This window comes from Homo sapiens, chromosome 6 (assembly GCF_000001405.40).
Source record: "Homo sapiens chromosome 6, GRCh38.p14 Primary Assembly".
NCBI lineage: Eukaryota > Metazoa > Chordata > Mammalia > Primates > Hominidae > Homo > Homo sapiens.
The window spans coordinates 140,793,173-140,812,902 of NC_000006.12; the positions used below are offsets into that span (position 1 = coordinate 140,793,173).

A 19,730-nucleotide genomic window follows, 5' to 3' on the forward strand; every position below is an offset into this window, starting at 1 on the left:
TGTTACTTTCCTATAACCACTGTCTTTTACGATTAATTCTCATAAGAACCGTTGTGTTTTTCTATTCACATCTGAATGGAGACTGCAGGTTGTGCAGAACCATATATAAATCAGGCCCAGTGTTCCAGATCCTCAGTCAACAGGTCACAAAGAACTCTCCTTGAGGTTTTAGGCGTTGGTTGCAAGAAAGGAGGCAACGTAACTGGAGTAAGGTGTATGAGAATATGAGTCACCTGCTCATGTGATGTCCTTGTGCCTTTGGGAATTGCTGGTGCCCAGACTAGTATCTAACACTTCATGTGTTGGTGGGGTTTTGCTGTGCATAGCCAACTTTAATGCTTGGTAGCTCTTATTATATCTAGTTTGTGACAAGCATACTGGGTTCCATGGTAACTTGGAGATGTGTGTCTTCTTTTTTATTTTTGTTAGTCTTACTATAGGTTTATTAATTTGTTAATACCAAAGTTATCAAAGGGAAAAGATTAAAAATATAGGTTTAGTAAATTTGTTGATGTTTTTAAATAATCAACTCTTGATTTCATTAAACTTTTTCTATTCTTTTCCTGTTTTCGTTTTGTTTCTGCTCTTTGTTGTTTTCTTCCTTCTGTTTGATTTGGATTTATTTCGCTCTTCTTTTGCTATTATCCTGAGGAAAAAAACTTAAATTACTTAAGATTTTTCTTTGTTTCAAATGTAAATATTTAGTGCTATAAATGTCCCTCTCAGCATTGCTTTGGCTATGATCCACAAACTTCGATATATAATATTTTCATTCATTTCTATGTATTTGTAAAAAATTTCTTTTGTGACCTCCTCTTTGACCCATGGATTGCTTAAGAGTGTGTTATTAAATTTCCAACTGTTTGAGGATCTTCTTGTTTTATTTCTGTAGTTAATTTCTAGTTTGACTCTATAATGGTCAGGAAACATTTCATATGATTTCAATTTTTTTTAGTTTGTTAAGGTGGCTTTATGGCTCAGAATATGGTGTATTTTAGTACATTTTCCATAGGTGCTTGGAAAGAAGGTATAGTTTCCTGCCATTGCCTAAAGTGTTCGATTTACATTCTGTTGTTTCATTGCATTATTCATTTCTTCCATATATTTACTAATTTTCTGGCTAGTTTTTTTTAATCAAATGCTGAGAATGGGATGTTAAATTCTTCAGTATAATTACAGATTTGCCTATTTCTTCTTTAATATATATTGGTTTATATTTCGTGTATTTTGTTTCATGAATTCTGTTGTTTGTTACATACACATTTAGGATCATTATTTCTCCTTGAGGACTTATCTTTTTATCATGTAATGTCCCTTTTTGTCTCTAGTAATTTTATTTGCGCTGATGTCTATTTTATCTGAGATTAATAAGCTACTGGTACATTTTAAAGTTTACATTATCTGTCTTTTTTGCTTTTATAATTTATGTCTACCTATGTTATTAAATTTGCAGTATATTCTTATATATAGCATATAGTTGGGGTTTTAAATAAATCCACTCTGTTAATCTCTCTTTCAATTGTTGTATTTAGACTATTAAAATTTTAAGTAATGATTAATATGTTAGACATTACATCATCTATTTTTGTTTTCTGTTTTTTCTTTATTATTATTATTTTCTATTGATATACATATTAGTCAGTTCTCACACTGCTATAAGGACATACCTGAGACTGGGTAATTTAGAAAGGAAAGAGGTTTAATTGACTCACACTTCTGCATAGCTGGGCAGGCCTCAGGTAACTTACAATCATGGCAGAAGGGGAAGCAAACACATCTTTCTTCACATGGCAGCAGCAAGAAGAAGTGCCAAACAAAGGAGGAAAAGCCCCTTAGAAAATCATCAGATCTTGTGAGAACTCACCCACTATCATGAGAACAGCATGGAGGAACTGCCCCATGATCTAATCATCTCCCAAGAAGTCCTGTCCCCAACACGTGGGGATTACAACTCAAGAGATTTTGGGTGGGGACACAGTAAAACCATATCAATATATAATACATGTACATATTTTGGAGATACATATGATAATTTTATATAGTCATATACTGTATGAAGTTCAAATCAGGGTAATTAGGATATCCATCACCTTAAATATTAATCGTTTCTTTATGCTAGGAATATTTGAATTATTTTCTTCTAGTTATTTTGAAATGTACAGTAACGTTAACTATAATCTCCTTACTAATCTATAGAACACTAGGTCTTATTTGTTCTATCTAACTATATATTTTTACCCATTAATCAACAGCCTCTCTTCAACTCCTCCCCTCCCCCTACCATTCTTTGGCTTCTGGTAACTATTAATTTTCTGTCTTTCTTCATGAGATCCACTTTTTAAGATATCACATATGAGTGAAAACATGTAATATGTATATTTTTGTGCTTGGCTTATTTCATTTAACATAATTACTTCCATTTCCATTCATATTGATGCAAATGACAGTATCTCATTCTTTTATAATGCTAAATAATATTCCATTGTGTGTATATACTCCATTTTCTTTATTCATTCATCCACTGATAGGCACTTTAGTTCATTCCATATTTTGGTTATTATGAAGTTTTTCAGTAAACATGGAAATGCAGATATATCTTTGATATGTTGATTTTCTTTATTTTAGATATATACCCAGGAGTGGAGTTGCAAAATCATATGGTAGTTCTACTTTTAGTTTTTGGAAGTACCTCTATACTGTTTTCCATAGTGACTCTACCAGTTTACATTTCCATCAACAATGTACAAGGATTCCCTTTTGTCTGCATTCTTGCCAGCATCTGTTATTCTGTGTTTTGTTGGTTTGTTTGTTTTGAGATGGAGTCTCGCCTCGCTCTGTCACCAGGCTGGAGTGCAGTGGCACCATCTTGGCTCACTGCAACTTCTGCCTCCTGGGTTCAAGCGATTCTCCTGCCTCAGCCTACCGGGTAGCTGGGACTACAGGCGTGTGCCACCATACTCGGCTAATTTTTGTATTTTTAGTAGAGATAGGGTTTCACCATGTTGGCCAGGATGGTCTTGATCTCTTGACCTCATGATCCATCCACCTAGGCCTCCCAAAGTGCTGGGATTGCAGGCAAGAGCCACTGCACCCAGCCTGTTTGTTGTTGGTTTTTTGTTTTTGAGACAGTGTCTGGCTCTGTTGCTCAGGCTTGATATTCCATTTTAAATAAAAGCCATTTTAACTGGGTAAGATGTGGTTTTTATTTGCATTGGTAATATTGAACATTTTTAACATATCTGTTGGCCATTTTTATGTCTTCTTTTGAGAAATGTCTATTCAGATACTTTGCCAATTTTTTGATCCGTTTTTTTGCTATTGTTTGGGTTCCTTATATATTCTAGTTAGTAGTCGTCAGATAGTTGCCAAATATTGTCTCTTCATTCTGTGTCTTCACTTTGTTGGCTGTGTCTTTTGCTGGGTGGATGCTTCTTCACTTGATATAATCCCATTGGTCTATTTATGCTTTGGTTGCCTGTGCTTTTGAGGTCTTACATACAAACCCTTCCAGACCATTGTCCTGAAGAGTTTCCCCAAAGTTTTATTTTAGTTGTTTCATAGTTTGGGGTCTTATATTTAAGTCTTTAATCCATTTGAGTATGATTTTCATATGTGGTGAAAGATAGAAATCTAGTTTCATTCTTCTAGATGTGAATATCAGTTTTCACAACACCACTTATTGAAGAGACTCTTTTTCACCAATGTATGCTCTTGGCAACTTTGTTGAAAAGTATTTGACTGTAAATGCATGGATTTATTTGTGGTTCTCTAGTCTGTTCCATTGGTCCATTTGTCTATTTTTATGCCAGTACCATGTTGTTTAGGTTGCTATAGCTTTGCAGTACATTTTGAAGTCAGGCATTGTGATGCCTCCAGCTTTGTTCTTTTTGCTCAGGATTGCTTTGGCTATCCAGGGTCTTTTGTGTTCCATATAAATTTGAAGATTTTTTTTTATTTCTATGAAGAATATCACTGGTATTTGGACAGAAATTCATAGAATCTATAAATTGCTTTGGATAGTATTCCCATCTTGACAATATTATTTTAATTCGTGAGCATGGAATATGTTTTCTCTGGGTTGTTTCAAATTTTTTTCATCAGTGTTTATTATGGTTTTCTTGTATAGATTTTTCACTTCTGTGGTTAAATTTATTTCTAGATATTTGATATTCTTTGTAGGTATGGGATATACTTCTTGATTTCTTTTATAGATTCTTCATTGTTAGCATGTATAAATGCTACTGATTTTTGTATATTGATTTTAGTATCCTGCACCTTTGCTGAATTTATTTCAGTTCTAACAGTTTTCTGGTGGAGTCTTTAGGTTTTTCTAAATATAAGATTATGTCATCTGTAGACAATGTGAATTTGACTTCTTCCTTTCCAATTTAAATGCCTTTTATTTCTTTCTCTTGCCTAATTTCCCTGGCCAGGACTTCCAGTATTATGTTGAATAAAAGTGATGAAAGTGGCCATATTTCTTAGAGAGTTGTCTTTCAATTTTTTCTCTTTCAGTGTGATGTTGGTTGTGTGTTTGTTATATATGACCTTTATTATTTTGATGTATGTTTTTTCTATATCCAGTTGAGAATTTTTTTTCTCAAGGAAATGCTGAATTTTATCAAGGGCTTTTTCAGCATCTACTGAAATAATCGCAGGATATTTTTTGTGGTTCTGATAATGTGATGTATCATGTTTATTGATTTGCATATGTTGAACCATACTTGCATCCCTGAAATGAATAATGCTTGATTGTGGTGAATAATCTTTTGAAGTGTTGTTGAATTAGGTTTGCTATTATTTTGTTGAGAATTTTTGCATGTATGTCTATCAGTGATACTGGCCTGTAGTTTTCTTTTTTTGTTGTTTCTTTGTCTGGTTTGGGTGTCAGGGTAATGCTGATCTTGTAGAATGGTTTGGAAGTATTCCCCCCTTTCCAATTTTTTGATGCAGTTAAGTAGAATTTGTACTAGCTCTTTAAAAGTTTGGGAGAATTCAGTAGTGGATTCATCAGATCTGGGGTTTTCTTGAATGAAAGACTTTTATTACAGCTTTGACCTCATTTCAGGTTAGTGGTTTGTTGAGGTTTTCAATTTCTTAATGGTTCCATCTTGGTTGGTTGTATGTGTCCAGACATTTATCCATTTCTGCTAGGTTTTCTTATTTGTTGGCATACAGTGATTCATAACATTCTCTATTCTTTGTATTTCTATGGTCTCAGTTGCTTTGTCAACTTTTCTGTTTCTAATTTTTTTTTTTTTTTTTTTTGAGATGGAGTCTAGCTCTGTCGCCAGGCTGGAGTGCAGTGGCGTGATCTCGGCTCACTGCCACCTTTGCCTCCTGGGTTAAAGTGATTCTCCTGCCTCAGCCTCCCAAGTAGCTGGAACTACAAGCGAATGCAGCTAATTTTTTTTGTATTTTTAGTAGAGACAGGGTTTCACTGTGTTGGCCAGGATGGTCTCGATCTTCTGACCTTGTGATCTGCCTGTCTCGGCCTCCCAAAGTGTTGAGATTACAGGCATGAGCCACCGCGCCTGGCCCTGTTTCTGGTTTCATGTGTTTGAGTCTTCTCTCCTGTTTTCTTATTTAGTTTAGCCAAAAGTTTGTTGATTTTGTTTAACTTTTCAAAAAAATCAACTTTTTGTTTATCTTTTGTAATTGTTCTTTAGTTTTAATTTATTTCTGATTTGATCTGTATTATTTCTTGCCTTCTAGTAATTTTGGGTTTGCTTTATTCTTGCTTTTCTAGTTCTTGAGGTATATCTTTAGTTTACTTAAGGTATCACATAATTTAAAGTATTTCTACTTTGTTGATATAGGCATTGATTGCTGTAAACTTCCCTCTTAGTACTGCTTTATCTGTATCTCATTGATTTTGGTATGCTGTTTTTTCATTTTCATTTGTTTCAGAAATTTTAAATTTTTCTTCATAATTTCTTTACTAACTCATTGGTCATTTTAGAGCATGTTGTTTAATTTCCATGTGTCTGTAGTTTCTGAGGTTCCTCTTGTTATTAATTTAATGTTTTATTCTATTGTATTCAGAAAAGTTACTTGATATGATTTCTAATTTTTTTTACGTGTTGAGAACTGTTTCGTGGGCCAAGATGTGGTCTATTCAGGAGAATTATTTATGTGCTGCTGAAAATAATGTGTATTCTGCCACCACTGGGGGAAAATTTCTGTTAATGTCAATTAGCCCTATTTGGTCCAGTGTATAGATATTTATTTGTTGATTTATGTCTGGATGATCTGTTTATTACTGAGAGTGGGGTGTTGAAGTCCTCTGCTGTTATGCTATGGCAGTATTTATTTCCCTTTAGATTTGTTAATGTTTGCTTTATAGATTTGAGTGATACAGGGTTGGGTGCAGAGATATTTATAACTATATCTTCTTTCTGAACTGACCACTTTATCATTATATAGTGACCTTTCTAGCTAATTTTTTATATCTTGTACATATTTGCTCCATTTCATTCTTTTTCTTTTTTCCTCTGACTGTGTATTTTCAAATAGCCGATCTTGGAGCTCACTGAGTCTTTCCTCTGCTTCATCAAGTCTACTGTTACGAGTTGTTAATGAATTTTTCAGTTCAGCAAATATGTTTCTCAGTTCCAATATATGCCTTTTTTTATATTTCAATCTTTTTGTTAAATGTCTCTGATAAATATCTGACTTGCTTTTCTGTGTTATCTTGGAGATTACTGAGTGTTCTTAAAACTGCTATTTTGAATTTTTGGTTAGAGAGCTCACATATTGCTATGTTGTTGGTATCCATCACTCATTCCTTGCATTGTCTGTTTGGGGAGTGATGATTCCCGGTTTGGTGTTGTTTCTTGTAGATGTATGTCTATGTATGTCTATGTCTTTCCATTGAAAGTTTAGTTATTTATTCCAGTTTTCTCTGGTTTTTTTTGTTTGTTTTTGTTTTTGTTTTGTTTTGTTTTTTGACGTGATTGCTTAGAGGTTCATTGTAATTTTAAAATTTCTTTCCAGCTTAGTTTCTGCCCCCTTTTAAGCACTAGATGACTTCATAAGCCCAGGTTTGCCTCAGCTGTAGTAATGGACGACAGCTCTGCCCATCCCAAATAAACAGATCTCAGAGGGGATATCCCTGCAATGTGGGACAGCTGCCTAGGAATTTGTGCCCAGAAGACCCTAGTGTGGAGTTGCTGAACAGCCACTCTGATTTGGCATCTCCTTTGGCTGAGTTACAGAGCAGTTTCCAGGACTGTGAATCGTAGTCCTTCCCTTCCCCTTTATTTTTGGCTTTCTCAGAAATTTTTCTCCTTTAGGGACTCTTAATGTTTCCTGTGGGTGGAGGCAGGGACAGGTCTCCCGTCAGAGAACCCAAGATGGTAGAGAAACTTATTTTCACTTTGATCTCACTTTTTCTAGTATAGAAACTGAGTTGGGGAGAATTTTTCCACACACTTAGTGCAGGGCTGATTGTGGGGAAAGGGGTGTATAATGGATATGGAAGTCAGATTCTTCTACCATCTGTTTGGAGTTTTTTTTACTTGTCTGTGGCCCCATGAACTGTTGCATCTTCCTGTTTGAGTTCTGGGATATTGCTGGCAATAACCTCTGTGCTGTATATTTGTTTTTGGTTTTTTGTGAAGGGGAAGTGAAGCCAGATTGCTACTATGTTGCCATTTTGGAACCAGGAGTCTGCTGTTCTTTCTGGATTATCATTATTCTGTTTCTCTTTCTTTGCTTTTCCGTTGGATTCTTTCTTATTTTATTTATACTGCTTTAAACTAGATCTCTTTTTATAGCTTTCTTAGTGGTTGTTCTGGATATTACAATATACGTATGTAATTTATTACAACGTACTCATATTGAAGTATGACTATTTGATTAAGTATTTAAATTTTATTTATATTTAGGTTTCTTTCTCTTTGCACTTATGTAATTGTCTGAAGTATTTCCTCTATGTTTATTGAGATCCACATTAGATGGTGTTATGCTTTTTACTTCAGTCATCAAATATGACTTAAGAAGTTCATGAGAAATAAGATAATCTAGAATATATATCCTTATTGTTACATATTTAATAGTCCTTCTATTTTTTTAAATCCTCGGCTTCACTCTTTTATATTTTTCTATTTGCTGAGAGTTTTTGTAGCCCTTTTTAAAGAGTAGGCATTATTTTACCCTTGTCTGAGAATGCCTTGATTTCTCTTTCATTTCTTAAGGATATTTTTGTTAGATATAGAATTCGTGGGTGACAGATCTCTTTCTTCACACCTAAAAAATACCAATTATTCCTGGCCTCCATGCTTTAAGAGAAGTTTATTATCATACAAATCAGAATTCCCAGATAGGTGATGTGCTCTGTGGTTACTTATATGATATTATCTTTCTCTTTAGTTTTTAGCAGTTTAATTATGCTGTGTGAGTAAATTTTGGGGGGTATAATGTATTTGGAGTTTGCTCAGCTTCTTGAATCTGTAGGTACATGTCTTTTGCCAAATATGGGGGTTTTTCAGCTATTTTTTAACACATTTTTCAGCCATGTATTCTTTCTCTTCTTTTTTAGAACTTTGATATTATGAATGTAAGATATTTTATTATTATTCCCAATGTCCATAAGACTTTGTTCATTTTTTTCTTTAAAGTATACTTTCTCTCTGTTGTTTGAATTGAGTGAAATCTTTTGATCAGTTCTCAAGTTCAGTGATTCTGTCACCAACACTCTATTATGGAGCTCAGCCAGCAAAGGTTTTTTCTCCTCTTTATTTCTGTTATTATATTCTTTCAGTTCTATAATTTCTGTCTGTTCATTTTCTTATAACTTTTATTTCTTTGCTGAGATTTTTTAAACTTTTTATTTGTTTCAAACAAATGCAGAATTATTATTGAAGCAATATTATGGTGGCTGCTTTGAAATATTTGTGAGATATATGCTGAAACATTTATGGATTAAATAACATTATATATGGAATTGGCTCCAAAATAATTTGAGGGAGTGTGGGAGGGATATAAATAAAATAAAATTAGCCCAAATTTGGCAATTGTTAATGCTAAGTTATCAGTACATGGCCATGTTTTATCATATTATTCTCTCCACGTTTGTAAGCATTTAAAATTTTTCATGGTAGGAAATGATGGGGAAGACTCTGAAATGCACATTGTCCTAGTAGAAAATATTATTTTTTATTCTTACAAATATTATATATAATTGTTGTAAAGATTTGTGGATACCGTAAAAGAAGTTGGTCTTACTTGTATCTATTTCTCCTTTTTTATTAGAGAGAGAAATCAAATGCAAATAAACAATGAACTCTACATTTTAAAATATAGCTTATGACCTAGTGCTAATTGGAAGGGGAATTCATCTAGCCCCAAAAAGTAATTTTTATAATAAATATCTCCTGTATTTTGCTCATCTGGGATTCGGTGTCCCTAGGGAATCAAGATCTTAAATTCGCATGAACACCTCTTAGAAATAAAATAATGTCATCCTTATACATTACATATATAAATCTTTCTGTGTGTGTATATATATGTAAAAATGCATGTATAGTTTAAATAAAAATATCTTTGTAACCCAGCACTAGATTTTATATGGAAATTTTGTCTTTATATTCTCCCAGTTTCGTCTTTCTTTTTTCTTTTATTAATTGGTACATTCAATGTTATTTTGATACATGTAGACAGTTGGCATACATGAACCATCATTTTCAATACAAGCTGGGGATACTCTGTCTTTGTAACTTAAGTATAATCTGTCAACTTCTATGTATTTCTTTTGTGTTTGTGACAAGACATCAGAAATCAGAAAAATCGTAGTATAATACTTCCCTTATAAAAGATGTTTTTACTGTTTTACATATTTATATACATTTTTAATCTTCATCTTACATACTTTCTATAAATATTTAATTGTTGATTATAGAAAACTGTATTCTAATATTAGTATTGATGGGAGAGAAAGATATCTTTTCACATTACTATTCTGCAAGTGAGTGATGAAGCAATTGTTAGATCACAGGCTTTAGTTATTCTGCCATATGTACAATGGTTAGGTGAAGTATTGCATCCTCATCCCTGAAACAAGGTATTTCTCCAGAGAGTAAGACTTCAGACTAGGTCTTGGAGGAGAGGATGCTCTTCCTCCTGGTGTTTACCAGCCCAGCTGCAGGGACAGAAAGATATTGTGCACAAGCAAAACAGAGGTCATACAGCAGTGAGTGAAGTTCATGCAAAGGTCAGTAAAGAAAACTTGCTCTGGGATAAATTAATCAAAGGATCTTCAGGGAAGGTTATTTTTAAACTCAACCTGACTATCTGCATCCCAGCACTATAAGCAAGTAGTGGTTTCCCACTTAAAACATTGAGTGCTTGTATTTATACATGTTCAAAATAACCTAGCCTAAGTGAAGTGTTCTTGAAAATAAATTTAAACTTCCTCATTAAAATACTAAATTTGCACATCTATCTTGCTCAAGAGGGAATTTTAGCTGCCTTGTGGTAGAAATTATAGATGAGAGATTATATTAGTGAGCACATTTCTAAAAATGCCTTTTGAGTACAAATACAGCTTATTAAGAAGTGAATGGAATGAAATTAAGTACCATGCTGCAACTATTATATTTTTATACTATGTGTGAAAAAACAAACAATAGCAAATTTATATGTAAACCTCTAAGAAAATGAGATAACAAATAATAACTTACACTTACAGAGTTCTCCAAAAGTAATCATTATCAGAAAATTCTTAAAAAATAGTGCACAAAACAACTTATTAGAAACACAGTAAGACACAGTGCCAAGTGATAAATCTTAGTACCATTTCTGACACGATAATTTTGCAAAAATCTTATAGCAGTTCTACATGGTTTTTAAAATATTCTTATAAATCAAATAGTTAATAAGACTTTCTCATATCACTGAAATATTTAGAAAATTGTTATACTTGATGTAGGTTATGTCAATAACAACAAATCAATAATAACACAACTCCTATCTTAAAACATTATCTATGAATAAATCAAGCTGTATTCAGTCAAAGAGGAGTGCTTTCAGTTTTCTAAGCAATCATTTCATTCACCAATACCTTGTTTTGTGCTCAGTGTAGGAATTGGATAGGCAGTTCCTGTTCAGTCTCCTTTTGGTGATTGTTGATAGAGCAGACAGAGGGGGTTTCAGAAAGCTGAATATATACTTGAATTCTTGCTCCATTTTTGATCTCTAAATGCATTACTATGCCCTCATTCATTGGATTTGTTAATGACCTTTGAGAGGAAAAGCAGCATTTCATTGCACAACAACAAAAAATCAAGGCACAGAATACAAGTGTGTGCACAGCAAAGAGACTCAGATCACTATGATACCACACCCATTCATTTTCATTTCCTACAAGACTAGACTCTGCATCTATTTTTGATCAAAGAAATAAAAACAATAATGCAAAATTATGCATATAATCATTTATACAGCTGGGTTTGTTTTAAGGCTTTTTAACCTCCAGCTTGTTATCTATGTCTGCAAACTGACTGGCAAGGGATAAAGCAAGTATGGCAACATAAATTCAAACACTCTGCTCCTTCCTGGAGATCTTTGTAAACAAAATCAATATCTGTAGAAAAAGATTGAATTCTTGCATACCTAAATTCGGAACTTCAGAGATACTCAATAAGGTATTCTGAACTCAATAAGAAAAACTGCTAATGCTATTAGAATAGATAAAATTTACATTTTCTCTGAAAAATATCCCTAGGCTTTCTATGAAACCTGGAAAATAGTATCATTTATTTTCAACATATCTGATTTGGTGACTCTGTAAGATATATATATATATATATATATATATATATATATATATATATATATATATATATATATTTTAAAACTAAAATGCTGTTTTAAATGCACATGAGTATTTGTTTGTACCGTCTACCTAGATACCTATTTGTTTCTGTATTCAAGATACTGTATTTTTGAAATAAGGATAATGATTTTTCTATCAGGACACATTGCCATAACACATTCTTAAATAATGAGTACTGGCAAGACAGGTATTTAGTTGCCAGTCCTTCAATGGAGGGTCTATTAGAGATAGATACGGATAGGTAAGTAGATACAGAGATATGTAATAATTATAATAGCTATTATACATTGTAATGCATGTGTGCATGTGTGTGTCTGTGCTATTAAGCATCCATCTTCTAAGATTACCTAGAATTTAGTAACTCAGCTAGTGAACCTGAAATTAAAATGTCTAATATTTGCAGGAAATTAGAAATTCTGCAGTTTTCTTCTTGTGGAGTTTTGTTATTGACAGGTTTCTTATTGAATGACATCTATTAATTATGATTTAGTTATTTTTAACTTTACAACATCTTCAGGTAGCAAAAGGGAATTAATATTGTGTTTGCTTTAATTTTATGCTTGCATTTATTAGCATCTTGGATGTCACATGCTTTTACCATTACTAAAACTAAAACTATTCTCCTTAAAGTGCTTCTGCTGTCCACTTTTCTTGGGTACCATCTTGTTTTTAAATTACTAATTGATCTCTTGCTTTTGTGTACTCAGAACATTCAGAATGTATTACCTAATAAATTTACGTAAGATTCTCACATATGATAAACTATATCTTATATATCAACATAGAAGCATATAAATAATAATTCTTACCTTTTAAAGTCTGGCGATTTGGATATATTTCAGAATATATCTTGTCTAAGAATTCGAAAGCTAATTATTCTGTAAAATTGAATAGTGTTTCATAACCAATCTTAGGTTATCATAAATCACTTAAAGAGATTTCTTTAAGTTCATGAAGAGAGAAAGTCAAATGTATCATGAGATGATTTTAAAAATAGGCTTAAAAAGAAGCAGCACAACAGCGTGATATGTTATAAATTAGAATACTAATTATTCAACATCCTTTTTAATCTCACACACACACACAAATTCCTCTATTGCCTCTGCGTTGGCTGACAGATGCCACATGGAATGTTGGTATATTTTTTTGTGATATAAATCATACCTGTATCTTCAGTGTAGATTAAAATATCATGTAAATAATTATTGTACACACACTGAAAGCTTTGAACTGTCTGCATGCCTTTGAATGCTCTATTGTGTGCTTTTGGCCCTTTAGTCTTGGTAGATCTTAATCTTCTTATCACTAAAATTTAAAAAACTATATACATCATAAAATAATTGACACCTGATATCTATCACATATAGTGCTTAGTATAGTATATATCAATACCTATTAATTATAATTAAAACAAATCATAATAATATTAATATTTATTATAAATTATTTTATGTCATTATCTAGACCTTATATTTTCAAAAGCCATTCTCTTTTCTTGGTATCAAAAATAGTAGTCTAAAATCTCTTTTCCTGAAAAATCTTCCTTAAGCCAATGTCAAAGATTTCAAACATAGTTGGAATGCCATTGTATTCAATTATTGTGGAATGAGTCACACTCACAGATGTGGTAGGAGCCAAAAATCAACTATATTGACAGAAGTCATTAACACTAATTTGCTTTCTGCCACTGATTTGCTTGCTGCCCCTTGCCTAGTACTTTCCAATTAATTCTAGGCCTTATCTGTGATGCTATTTTGCACTTTATTTTCTACTTTGTCTTCCAGCCTAAAACGATGCACCTCAAAATTAACAATTACTATTGTTTTCAGGAGCAATTAAAATGATAAGAATAACTGAGCTTAAATTTCACATGACAATATAGATGTTTTATCCTTTGAGTATAAATAAATGTTCCTGGTTTACTAGGTTTTAGAAAAACACAATTAACATTTTCAAACTTTTTTTTTTTTTTTTTTATGAGACGGAGTCTCACTCTGTCGCCCAGGCTGGAGTCCAGAGGCGCTATCTCAGCTCACTGCAAGCTCCGCCTCCCGGGTTCACGCCATTCTCCTGCCTCAGCCTCCGAAGTAGCTGGGACTATAGGCGCCCGCCACCACGCCGGGCTAATTTTTTTTGCATTTTTAGTAGAGACGGGGTTTCACCGTGTTAGCCAGGATGGTCTCGATCTCCTGACCTTGTGATCCGCCCGCCTCGGCCTCCCAAAGTGCTAGGATTACAGGCGTGAGCCACCGCGCCCGGCCGATTTTCAAACTTTTAAGTAATAATTTTCATAAAACAAATTCAATGATTCATTTCTTAAAACCAGTAGAGCACTAAACCTAAAATAAAAAAAAAAAAAAGATATAGCTCCCATTCTTCTAATTTACTGCATATTAGATTAAACATTGAGTTCTCCAACCCCAAATTTGGCAAAACTATTAGCCTTTTTCCAATTAAATTATTTTTACAAGGAAATAATGTGTTATCTTTGGTTTTCTTTACTTTTTCCAAGTAAACAAACAAATATATAAAACAACAAGACAATCCATACTTTATTGTATCGTAAATGGGCCACTTAATTATTCAAAACTTAATTTTTTTGTATCAAATAGATTACATTACAATTTGGAAATGGGAAGCTAAAAGGTCAATTTTAGAGCTTTAAATCACCAGGCATAGGTTACTGTGCATTAAGACAGACTGGGCTTACCTTGAAAGAAAATCTCAGGAAAAAGTCCAGAGCAGTTGCCAGACTTTAAGGTTATATTTTCTTTCCAGGGTAGCATTTTCCTTGAGAACTGCTGACTTTAAATCTTTAAAAGATGAAGCACAAGCCCATGGTGTCTTATATTAATCTTTATTATTAGTTTTTTCACACACTCAAAAATATTAAAAGGCATTTACAGCATGACAGAATGAGGAGCTCCAGCAACCCACACTCCAGCAGAAATGGTGAAAATTACTTAAAAACAATCATTTAAAGTCTCAGGAAGTGATATGAGGGACATATAGACAAGATATTTATGGAAGAAAATCTACTAGCATTTTGTAAGAACAGTGAGAATTGAGGTATTTGAACTGAGACTTTCTTCCTACTCATCCTTGTATATTAAGCAAAATAGAAACATCACTCTGAAACAGGAGAGTTCCCTGACTCCCCTCCGAGGACATGCAACAGGATTGTGACTTGTCTGTTAGGTCGCTGCTGCTGCTCAAACCCCTTATAGGAGGTGGAGCATACAGACGGGCAGGTGTAGGAGCTGGAGTGAGCACCCCTAGGCTTCAGCCCCATGGCAGCATCCAGGTGTGACAGCCTGTGACTCCCGAAGCCCAAATGGGCATGTGTTAAAGTTCACCCTTTTAGCCTTGCCATCCACGGATGGCTTAAGTATTAACCAGCTCAGTGGACCATTTTTTGAAAGGGCAGAGGGCCGGTGTGACAGCTTTCTGTATCCTGAGCTCTTGTCCAGTGTCCCAGAAGAATCGTGTCACACGGACTTGAAGGATGAATACGGGGGTTTTATTGAGTGGTGGAGGAGACTCTCAGCAGGTTAGATGGGAAGCTGGAAGGGGGATGGAGTGGGAAGATGATCTTCCGCTGGAGTTTGGCTGCTCAACAGCCAATCTCCTCTCTGACCATCCCCAGCCAAAGTCCACTCGGTGTTCAGATGTCCCTTCTCTTCTCTCTGCCACACCATTCTTCTGTTGATATGCTCATCTCCTTCTCTACTTCTGGAGCCTGGAGTCAGGGGTTTATATGGGTAGAGGATAGGGGGAATGGCAGGCCAGAGGCAGCTTTTGGGCTTGAAAACAGGAATGCCTATCCTCATTTTAGGGCTACAGGTATCCAGGCTTGAGAGTGGGGCCTGTGCTGGGGAACCACCCTCTTCTACCCAGTAATTCTCTGTCTCCTATCTGTATCAACTGCAAATGGGTGCAACCAAAAATAAAGGTCTACCTCTTCCCCTAGCTTCCTGTTAGAGTATTATTTTCCTAGGAAAGGCAAGACATGAACACTTTGCATCCTGAACCCAGCTATACGTTACTGAGACTATGAGTTTAGCCAAATGATGGTGGTTTCTTCCATTCATTCTAAAACATGAGATGTAACCTCTACCTTGGGCATGGCACTACTGAGATCCTGGGGCCCTTGCTTTTGTTCCTAAGATAGTGATTCCATATCAGAAGACTTAGCAGGAAGATCTAAGGCTACTTTCCCTACTCTCCACCATGGGACACTCAGTTACTAAAGCAAGGTGTCACTCAGAGTGAAGAACACCACTGTCTCCATATCAAACTCCAGAGATGTGGCTCAGAGATTTTGCCTGGAGGCTGGGGAGAAGCATGTCATAGAACACATAGCTCTTAATCTTCTCTCAAAGTAATTCTCTTTACATGCAATAGAATGTGGAGAAATTCAAGTCTAAGAGTGCTCTCAAAAGCAAGAGAGGTTGTAGTGAAAGGAAATTGGGAAGAGATGACTGGATTCATTTGACATAGACAAAACTTTATGCCAGATACTTTGAGAGAACCAGAAAAAGAAATAAGTGGGAGGAGCCCACTTGGGATGAGAAAAAATAAAATCTCAAACAGTGTTCTCACAAATTATCCTTTCCAAGGAGCCTGAACTTGATTGGCTTTGTCTATGGATCAATTTATGATTCAGAATATTGCTGAAAACTATAGAGCAATCAACTGGCAATTACTGGAACAGAACAGCTGAATGAGGTCAAGGAAAGAGTTCAAAGAGAGCTGTCAAAACCACTGTCATACCAGAATGACTATGAGATAACCAAGGCTATGCCCTATATTACTTTGCTAGAGCTGCCATAACAACGTAACACAAACTGTAACAACAGAAATTTATAGCCTTGCAGTTCTGGAGGCTAGAAAGTTCAAGATCAAGTTGTTAGCAATGTTGTCTCCTTTGAGGTTTGTGAATGAGAATGTATTCTATGCTTCTCATCTAGTTTCTGGTGGTTTGCTGGCCATTTTTACCTTCCTTGTCATGTAGAACCATCACCACAATCGCTGTCTTTATCTTCCTGTGGTTTTGTCCCGGTGTGTGGGTCTGTCTCCAGATTTCCTTTTTTTTTTTTTTTTGAGGCAGAATCTTGCTCTGTCACCCAGGCTCCAGTGCAATGGCGTGATCTCAGCTCACTGAAACCTCCACCTCCTGGGTTCAAGAGATTCTCCTGCCTCAGCCTCCCGAGTAGCTAGAATTACTGGTGCCCACCACCAGGTCTGGCTAATTTTTTTGTATTTTTTAGTAGAGACGGGGTTTCATTATGTTGGTCAGGCTGGTCTCGAGCTCCTGACCTCAGGTGATCCACCTGCCTCGGCCTTCCAAAATGCTGGGATTACAGGTGTGAGCCAACATGCTCGGCCAATTTTCTCTTTTTATAAGGATATTGGGCACACTGGATTAGGAGCCCATTCTACTCCATTATTACCTCATTCTAATTTAAAAATTACATCAGCAATGACTCTGTTTCCAAATAAAGTCACATTCTGAGGCACTGGAGGTCAGTGCATGAGCATATACATTTTGAGTGGACACAATTCAATCCGTAACTGCCCTGATCAGGCATAACAAGCATAACATCAGAGGGTTAAGTGGGGAGAGGAGTAGGTGCCACTAAAAAAACCCAGCTAGTAATAAATAAATAAGCAATGAGCAAATACAAATAAACCTGGGAGAAGGTTACTCAGAGTTGCTATAATGTATTCTGTAAAATGTTCACTTTCCAAAGATCACAAGAAATATATAATGAGATGTGCAAAAAAAAAAAAAAAAAAATGGCAGGCAACAAAAACTGCCTATGAGCGTAAACAGATGTCAGATTTAACAGTAATAGACTTCAAAACATCATTATAAATGTGTTCAAAGAATGAAAGAAAAGCACAGTTAAAGAATTCAAGGAAGATATGATGACAATATGTAACCAAATAGAAAGTATCAATAGAGCAATAGAAATTATGAAACAGAAGTAAAAATTCTGCACTAGAAAAGTATAATAATGGAGTGAAAAAATGTAGAAAGACAGCTCAGCAGTAGAGTTGAACTGGCAGAAGAAATAATTAGCAAATTTGGAGTTAGACTGATAGAGATTATTCAATCTGAATAACGAAGAGAAAAATGAAGAAAGAAATGAACAGAGGGCGTCTGGGAAATGTGGACATTATTCATCACATTAGCATAAGCATAGTGGGAGTACTAGAAGGAGAAGAGAAAGAAAAGAACACATAAAATATTTTAAAACTCAGTTAAAAACTTCCCAAAGTTATTGAAAAACAATAATTTACAGATCCTTGGAGCTCAACGAACTCCGAGTAGAGTAAATGCAAAGTGATCCACAAACACATCACAGTAAAAATGCTGAAAGACAAAAAAAAATTTGTTTTTTTTTTTTTTTTTTTTTTGAGACAGAGTTTCCCACTCGTTGCCCAGGCTGGAGTGCAATAGTGTGATCTTGGCTCACCACAACCTCCATCTCCCAGGTTCAAGCAGTTCTCCTGCTTCAGCCTCCCGAGTATCTGGCATTATAGGAATGTGCCACCACACCTGGCTAATTTTGTAATTTTAGAAGAGACAGGGTTTCTCCATGTTTGTCAGGCTGGTCTTGAACTCCTAACCTCAGGTGATCCACCCACCTAGGCCTCCGAAAGTGCTGGGATTACAAGCATGAGTCACCGCACCTGGCCAAGCTCTTGAAAGTACCAAGAGAAGAAAAGAAAAGCCCAAAATCAAAACTCATCCCTTACAAGAGAACTCCAATAAAATTATCAACTGACTTCTCATTAGAAACAAGGGAAGCCTAAGGCAGTGCAATAGCATATCATATACAAAGTGGTCATAGACACGGTCAACCAAAAGTCTGAAGCTGTATTTCAAAAATGAAAGTGAAATAGAAATATTACCCGATAATCACAAACTGAGAAAATTTGTTTTTAAAATAGACACCTTACAAAAATCACTAAAAAAACTTTTCTCAGGCTGTTAGCCCAGACAGGAATTTAGATCCATATACTCACACAAAAAAACAAAGAACCCTAGTAAAGGCAATTACATAATTATAAAAGACAGTATGAATGCATATTTCTTCTGTCTTTGCTAAATTGATTTTAAAATAAATTGCTTAAAACACTCAAGAAGAAATAGATAATCTGAATTAACCTACATTAAGTGAAGGCTTTTAATTAATAATCAAAACGCTACCCACAAAGAAAGCTCAGGCCTAGTTGACTACACTGCTGAATTACACCACACATTTAAAAAAGAATTAATACCAAATCTTCGCAGGCTCTTCTAAAAAGTTGAATAGAAGGGAATACTTCCCAGCTCATTCGATGAGTTCACTATTACCCTGACACCAAAATTAGATAAAGAGCTCACAAGAAAAGAAAAATCACATGCCCATTTTAAAATTACTTATTTTCTTGCTATGGAGTTATGTGACTTCCTAATATATTTTGGATATTAATTCCTTATCAGATATATGTTAACAAAAGAAGAACAGCTATACTCTGAAAATTATAAAGCATTATTCAAAAAATTAAATACTTAAATGAATTTAAAAAATCCAATGTTTATGGACCAGAAAACTTAATATTGTTAAGATATCAATATTCCTCAATTTGATCTGCAACTTTAACTCAATCTCTGTCGGAATTCCAACTGATTGATTGGTAGAAATGGACAAACTGATTCTAAAATTTGTATGAAATTGCAAGGGACCCAAAATAAACAAATTTTTAAAAGAACATAATAGGATGACTTATGCTTCCTGATTTCAAAACTTACTATGCAGCAACAGTAATCAAGACAGTGTGGTAATGTCATGAGGACAGACATATAGTTCAAAGGAATAGAATTTAAACTCTAGAAATAAAC

General features: G+C 34.6%; 1 long non-coding RNA gene across 1 annotated transcript in view; it reads right to left on the reverse strand.

Annotated features, from left to right (window-relative positions):
- Positions 1-609: 609 nt before the first annotated feature.
- LOC102723724 (uncharacterized) overlaps positions 610-19,730 on the reverse strand; it is a 104,643-nt gene continuing 85,522 nt past the window's right edge. Inside the window, exons 4-7 of the long non-coding RNA XR_428030.5 lie at positions 14,547-14,649; positions 12,646-12,714; positions 11,063-11,240; positions 610-646 (exon numbers count right to left, since the gene is read on the reverse strand). This is a non-coding gene — a long non-coding RNA (uncharacterized LOC102723724). The remainder of the gene's footprint in view (positions 647-11,062; positions 11,241-12,645; positions 12,715-14,546; positions 14,650-19,730) is intronic.